This window comes from Homo sapiens, chromosome 13 (genome assembly GCF_000001405.40).
Source record: "Homo sapiens chromosome 13, GRCh38.p14 Primary Assembly".
In the NCBI taxonomy this organism is placed as follows: Eukaryota; Metazoa; Chordata; class Mammalia; order Primates; family Hominidae; genus Homo; species Homo sapiens.
In genome coordinates this window covers 41,097,148-41,105,274 of record NC_000013.11, presented here as the reverse complement: position 1 = coordinate 41,105,274, position 8,127 = coordinate 41,097,148, and the positions used below count along the sequence as shown (strand labels likewise).

The following is an 8,127-nucleotide window of genomic DNA, read 5'->3' as shown; positions in this document are numbered from 1 at the left end:
TTGAATCTCAACAAGTGACACAAAGAAGCAAGGTATTTAGAATTCATTCTGGTGGTGGCAGCAGTAGTAACATCCATGTTCTGGAGCTGCATTAGAAGTGTATTAACAAATTAACAATAATTTTTTTTTTTTTTTTTTTTTGGAGACAGAGTCTCACTCTGTTGCCCAGGCTATAGTGCAGTGGCACAATCTCAGCTCACTACAACCTACACCTCCCAGGTTCAAGCGATTCTCCTGCCTCAGCGCCCCTAGTAGCTGAGATTACAGGCATGTGCCACCACACCCAACTAGATTTTGTATTTTTAGTATAGATGGGGTTTCACCATGTTGGCCAGGCTGGTCTCGAACCACTGACCTCAAGTGATCATCCACACACCTTGGCCTCCCAAAGTGCTGGGATTATAGGCGTGAACCACCATGCCTGGCCAATTAACAAGAATCTTTAATGTGACTTTTTACTGATGTTTCAAATTGGTATTAAAGTTGGTTCAAAATCCAAAGCATATAAAGAATATACAGTAAAAGGTCTCTCCTGTCCATCTTATCCCTGTTTTTCCTTTTTTTTTTTAGACGGAGTCTCACTCTGTTGTCCAGGCTGGAGTACAGTGGCGTGATCTCAGCTCACTGCAACCTCTACCTCCCTGGTTCAAGCGACTCTTCTGCCTCAGCCTCCTGAGTAGCTGGGACTACAGGCACACACCATCACACCCAGCTACTTTTTCTATTTTTAGTAGAGATGGGGTTTCTGGCCAGGCTGGTCTCAAACTCCTGACCTCGTGATCCACCTGCCTCGGCCTCCCAAAGTGCTGGGATTACAGGTGTGAGCCACCGTGCCTGGTCCCCCGTTTCTTAAACACCTTATGATAGTTAATATTACGCATCAGCTTAATTGAATTAAGGAATACCTAGAGTACTGGTAAAGCATTATTTCTGGGTGTTTCCAGAGGAGATTGGCAGCTAAATCTGATTGAATTGGAAGATCTCCCCTCAATGTGGGCAGACACAGTCCAATTAGCCAGATGGGAAAAAAAGGCAGAAGAAGGGCAATTTCCGCTCTCTGCTAAAGCTGAGATGCTCTGCTCTGGTCCTTGGACATCAGAACTCCAGGCTCTTTGGACTCCAGGACTGATGCAGGCAGTCCCCTGCCTTCTCAGGCTGAGAGTTGAGTTACACCATCAGTTCCCCTGGTTTGAGACATTTAGACTTGGACTGAGCCACATGACCAGGATCCCAGACTTTCCAGCTGCAGTGGGACTTCACAGCCTCCATAATCTCATGAGCCAGTTCCCCTAATAAGGGGAGTTCCCTAATAAGCCAGTTCCACTCATCTATCTATCTATCTATCTATCTATCTATCTATCTATCTATCCATCCATCAATCATCTGTGTGTCTATCTACCTATCCATCTATCCAGCCATCTTATTGGTTCTGTCTCTCTGGAAGTCCTTGATGAATATACTCCTAGTTTTCTTTTCCAGTGTTATCAATTTTGTGTGTATCCTTTCAGGCTTATTTTATGCATATATATGACAGTACACATATCTTTTCTGCCCATGTTTTGTTTTACTAAAATTGCAGCATACTATATGTCAACAGAAAAAACCACTGGGTGCAGTGGCTCACACCTGTAATCCCAGCACTTTGGGAGGCCGAGATGGTCGAATTGCTTGAGCTCATGAGTTCAAGACCAGCCTGGGCAACATGGAGAAACCCCATCTCTACAAAAAAATACTAAAATTAGCCTGGCATGGTGGCACGTGCCTGTAGTCCCAGCTACTTGGGAGGCTGAGGTGGGAGGATGGCCTGCACCTAGGAGGCAGAGGTTGCAGTGAGCCAAGATGGCACCACTGCACTCCAGCCTGGGGTATAAAGCCAGACCTAAAATCAAACAAACAAACTGTAAAATATTGTATTTTATTTTTGGGAGTCAGAATCTCACTGTCACCCAGGCTGGAGTACAGTGGCATGATCATGGCTCACTGCAGCCTCAGACTGTCAGACTCCTGGGCTCACATGACCCTCCCACCTCAGCCTCCTGTAGCTGGGACTACTGACACACACCACCACACCAGCCTAATTTTTAATTTTTTTTTTTTTTTTTTTTTTTTAGACAGAGTGTCACTCTGTCACCCAGGCTGGAGTACAGTGGTGTGATCTTGGCTCACTGCAACCTCTGCCTCCTGGGTTCAAGCGATTCTTCTGCCTCGGCCTCCCGAGTAGCTGGGACTACAGGCATGTGCCACCACACCCAGCTTATTTTTATATTTTTAGTAGAGACGGGGTTTCACCATATTGGCCAGGCTGGTCTTGAACTCTGACCTTGTGATCTGCCCACTTCAGCCTCCCAAAGTGCTGGGATTACAGGCATGAGCCACCGTGCCTGGCTTATGTGTGTGTGTGTGTGTATATATATATAATGTGTATATATATATTATATATATATTTATATATATATATATAAAATATATATATAATGTGTATATATATATTTTATATATATATATAAATATATATATAATATATATATACACATTATATATATATACACACACACACTAAAATATATATATATATATATTTTTTTTAAGAGATGGAGTCTCACTATGTTGCCTAGGCTGGTCTCAAATTCCTGGGCTCAAGCAATTCCCCCACCTTGGCCTCCCAAAGTGCTGGGATCATAGGCTTGATCCACCATGCCTGGCCCTGTGAAGTATTTTAAGGTTTATTCTGAGCCAGTATGAGTGATGGAGGCCCAGGGAAAACACAAACCCAAGAAGCCTTGAGTAAGTGGTCCTGAGGCAGTCAGAATGTAACTTTGTCTATGGCGGTGAGTGGTGGCTCAAGCCTATACTCCCAGCGCTATGGGAGGCCTAGGGAGGCGGATCACTTGAGATCAGGAGTTCAAGAATGTAACTTTGTTTTATACATTTTAGGGAAGCAAAAGTTACAGCCAAAACCGTAAATCAATACATGGAGGTTATACACTAGTTTAGCCCGAAAACATGAGATATCTTGAAGCAGGGGCTTACAGGTCACAGTGGGTTCAGAGATTTTTTAAATTTGCAGTGGGTTAAAGGAACAAAGCTTTGTCTAAAAACTTGGAGTTAGCAGAAAGGAATGTTGAAATTGGGATAAGGATGCTGTGTCAGAGTCCGGTTGTGAGAGCAAGCTTCAATATACTGGGTCAAAATGACCTACTTATCAAGACAGATGGCCTGCAGGTGTGACCTAACCCTTGCCTTGCATGGCTTTAGGTCCTGTTTATAATTTGGTATTTTATTGCCACAGAGTTTGTTCTGTCAGTCTTTTGATTTCTATTGTAACATTATTGCTAGTCAGTTGTGCCTAAATTCCAAAAGGGAGGGGATGTCTTGAGGCCTTTCTGACCTCCTTTCCTGTCATGGCCAGGAACTAATTTTTAAGATTTCTCTGGTGTCTTCTTGGCTAAGAGGGGGTCCATTTAGTCATTTGAGGGCTTATAGTTTTGTTTTTCATTTACATGTGTGTATTTTTGTACGTATGTAAAATACATATATATTTTACGTATATAAACTGCTTCTAATGCTATGTAGCATGTCCCATATGAGTACATCAAGGACCTGCTCACTCTTTTTTTTTTATCTTCAGAGTAGACATTGTAAAAATGTATCATAATCCACTAAGTTTCCATTGGTGGACATTTAAGTGACTTATAATCTTTTGCCATTACAAACAGTGCTGTTGTGAATACTCTTCTACTTACATTATTTCACTTCTATGCCAAAATATTTTTAGAAGCAATTTCTCAAAAGGTGTGTACATTTGGCATTTGGAATTTTGACAAGGTATTACAGAAGTGCCTTCTGGAGAAGTTATGCCCATTTATGCTACACCAGCAATATATAATGGTGCCATTTCACCCATCCCTCCTAGAAATGTGTTATCAGACTTATTGATATTTGCACTGACTTGAGTTTTGCTTTAGTTCTGGCTGCCAGAGAAATATTTGTTCTTTCACATTTTCTGAACTGGTTGTTTGCCCTTCCAATCAATTTTGCATGTGGCGTCCTTTCAACAAATTCTTTTTTTTTTTTTTTTAGAAATAGGGTCTCTCACAGAGAAACACACATACGAACTAATGTGTAAATGTTTTTGTTCCTCCTCATTGATGACAAAATGATGGAATAATGCTTAAAGATCATGAGTTCTACAGTCAGACAGCCTGAGTTGGAGGCTCATCTTCACTTCTTGCTGTGTGACCCTGGGCCAGTGACTTAACTTCTCTATGCCATTTTCTTATCTGCAAAAGGAGGGTAATACTAGTATCTGTCTCATAGGGTTGTAGTAAATTGATTATTAATTGCTATATGAATATTCATGGAAAACTTATAAATAGTTCATATTTCTTTTAGCAGACAGTTTTGACATGGACATATGTTTTTGACATGGACATATGTTCTCATGATTCTCATATTGTGTACATATAATGTAGTCTTGTGAATTAAGCAGATGTTTCTCAAGGGACACCATAACACTTAGAGGCTCTGTCATTTGAATAAATTTGAGCCCACCAATGTAAAACATGCAGAAAATCTTGAGTCGTATGTTCAGTCTCTGTTCTGTATCTTGCCACGTTTTGACCTCATGCAAGTTGCCTAATATTTCAATCTCAAATTTTTAATCTGTAAAATGAGTTACTTATATTTATGTAACTTCTAGAATTTTTCAGTGCTCAAATAAAATATTACAAAATATGAAGCCAAAAAAAGAGGGAAAGAAACAGGGTCTCATTCTGTCTCTGAGGCTGAAGTGCAGTGGCACGATCATAGCTCACTGCAGTCTCCAACACCTGGGGTCAAGCAATCCTCCTGCCTCAGCCTTCCAGTAGCCAGGACCACAAGCACACACTGCCACATCTAGCTAATTTTTTTTTTGTAGTGACAAGGTATCAATATTTTGCCCAGGGTGGCATCAAACTCCTGGCCTCAAGCAGTCCTCTTATTAGGGAAGCAGGAGCCTAGGAGAGCCAGTGACACCATTGAAAAATCAACCCCATCTTAAAACTAGCAAGGCACATTCCTTGCCAGTGACAACCCATGGTCCTGATATGTTTACAATTAAGAAAGCAGCTTGATAATGCCTGTAAGGACAAACTCCTACAACAACAGAAAGTCCAGATGTCCTGATCCCCATAACAATGTATCCTTTCACATAATTATAGTTATGCTTTAATGTACTTACACACCAAAAGGTCAAGCATAGTTTTCATTAAATCAGTAAAATAATAAATTTTGTCATGCTGTCTGCCCGTCTGCACATAGATACAACTGAGCTTAGTCTTTACATTGACAAGAACCCTATATAAGAAAAACGTGGCTGGATGGCCAGGCGTGGTGGCTCATGATTGTAATCCCAGCACTTTGGGAGGCCAAGGAGGGTGGATCACTAGATGTCAGGGGTTCCAGGCCACCCTGGCCAACATGGTGAAACCCCTTCTCTACTAAAAAAATACAAAAAAGGCTGGGCACGGTGGTTCACGCCTATAATCCCAGCACTTTGGGAGGCCAAGGTGGGCAGATCACGAGGTCAGGAGATCGAGACCATCCTGGCTAACACGGTGAAACCCCGTCTCTACTAAAAATATAAAAAAAAAAATTAGCCGGGTGTAGTGGCAGGCGCCTGTAGTCCCAGCTACTCGGGAGGCTGAGACAGGAGAATGGCGTGAACCTGAGAGACGGAGCTGGTAGTGTGCCGAGATCGCGCCACTGCACTCCAGCCTGGGCGACAGAGCAAGACTCCGTCTCAAAAACAACAAAAAATATATATATATACATATATATATATGTATATATATGCATGTGTTTGTATATATATATTTGTGTATATATATATATATATACACAAAAAAATTAGCTGGGCGTTGTGGTGCACTCTTATAGTCCCAGCTCCTCGTGAGGCAGAGGCAAGAGAATTGCTTGAGCTTGGGAGGCGGAGTTTGCAGTGAGCCAAGATCATGCCACTGCACTCCAGCCTGGGCGTCAGGGCAGGACTCTGTGTGAAAACAAAACAAAACAAAACTTGTGACTCTGTGTAAAAAAAAAAGCAAAAAACAAAAAAAAAACAAAAACTTGTGATTCCAGCACTTTGGTAGGCCTCCACCCACCTAACAATTGTTTGGGACACCCAACAGTTCTGGATTAACTTCATTTATCCAAATTGCACTAATTCCATTAGCATATTATGGCAACAGCATTCCTGGAGACATCAGAATTGGCCACCCAAAAGACTAGAATGCAACCTCATTGGAAAAATTGAAGCTGCGCTAGGTATACTGGGGCAAGGTGAGTTTATAGCTAATGTAATGTAGGAATGTAGAGAGGCATTCCTTAGAGAAAAATTCCATGTAAAAAATAGGCCACATAAAAGGAATGCTATTCCAAGACAAGGGAAAAGGATGGGAAGTTGCCTTAAAAGATAATCTAGTACTCATCAAATGGATAGAAGAAACCAGACCAAACATGAAAACTTACTCCTAAATGCAAAGGTGGGAACAATCATGTACTCTAACCCAAAAGGGCTCATGTCTATGTTTTTACAAGTGGAATCTTAGGTAGCTATGAATCAGTGACCTGCAATCCTCAGTGCTAAGGCACAATCCAAACACCTATAGAGAGTATGTGGTCCCTCAAATGTATGGAAATTTTTGGATGGTAAATGTGACCTCAAATACTACATTCTCAAAGCACAGGCACCAAAGTTGAATGAGGCTCAAAAGTATTCTGTTGTCTAAGTGGCAGGCATTGGGACTGTTGTAAACAATACAAGACTACTCCTCATGGGAAACAGGTGGACTATTTTAGCTAACGATAATGTTACTGGTTGGTATCTGAGTTATCAGCAGTAAATCCCTATGCGGCTACAGCAACCTCAATCTTACCTCCTCAGAAGAAAGCATTCAACTGAGAGGCATAAGGCAGAAAAAGAGACAGGCAAGTTTCAGAGCAGGAGTGGAAGTTTATTTTAAAAGGCTTTAGAAGGTGAAAGCATTCCCTTTGAAAACCAGCACAAGACAAGGATGCCCTCTCTTACCACTCCTATTCAACATAGTATTAGAAGTCATGGCCAGGGCAATCATGCAAGAGGAATAAATAAAGGGTATTCAAATAGGAAGAGAGGAAGTCAAATTATCTTTGTTTGCAGATGACATGATCTTATATCTAGAAAGCCCCATAGTCTCAGCCCAAAAGCTTCTTAAGCTGCTAAACAACTTCAACAAAGTCTCAGGATATAAAATTAATGTACAAAAATCACTAGCATTCCTACACGCCAACAACAGGCAAGCAGAGAGCCAAATCATGAATGAACTCCCATTCGCAATTGCTACAAAAAGAATAAAATACCTAGGAATACAGCTAACAAGGAAGTGAAGAACCTCTTTGAGGAGAACTACAAACCACTGCTCAGATAAATCAGAGGGAATAAAAACAAATGGAGAAAAATTCCATGCTCATGGATAGGAAGAATCAATATGAAAATGGCCATAAGCTCCAAGTAATTTATAGATTCAATGCTATTCCCATTAAACTACCATTGACATTCTTCACAGAATTAGAAAAAACTATTTTAAAATTCATATGGAACCAAAAAAAAAAAAGCCTGAATAACCAAGCCAATCCTAAGCAAAAAGAACAAAGCTGGAGCATTATGCTACCTGATTTCAAACTATGCTACAAGGCTACAGTAACCAAAGCAGCATGGTACTGGTACAAGAACAGACAGGTCAATGGAACAGAATAGAGAACCCAGAAATAAGACCACACACCTACAGCAATCTGATCTTCAACAATCCTGACCAAAACAAGCAATGGGAAAGGATTCCCTATTTAATAAATGGTACTGGGAGAACTGGCTAGCCATATGCAGAAAATTGAAACTGGAACCCTTCCTTACACCATATACAAAAATTAACTCACGACAGATTAAAGACTTAAATGTAAAACCCAAAACTATAAAAACCCTAGAAAAAAATCTAGGCAACATCATTCAGGATATAGGCATGGGAAAAGATTTCATTACAAAAACAAAAATCATTGTAACAAAAGGAAAAAATGACAAATGAGATCTAGTTAAACTAAAGAGCTTCTGCA

The 8,127-nt window shown here is 40.8% G+C and overlaps 1 non-coding gene across 1 annotated transcript; it reads left to right on the top strand.

The window, feature by feature from the left end:
• The first annotated feature begins 4,174 nt into the window (after positions 1-4,174).
• On the top strand, positions 4,175-4,256 carry MIR3168 (microRNA 3168). The gene has a single exon (NR_036127.1). It is a non-coding gene; the product is annotated as a microRNA 3168 (primary transcript).
• The last annotated feature ends 3,871 nt before the right edge of the window (positions 4,257-8,127 follow it).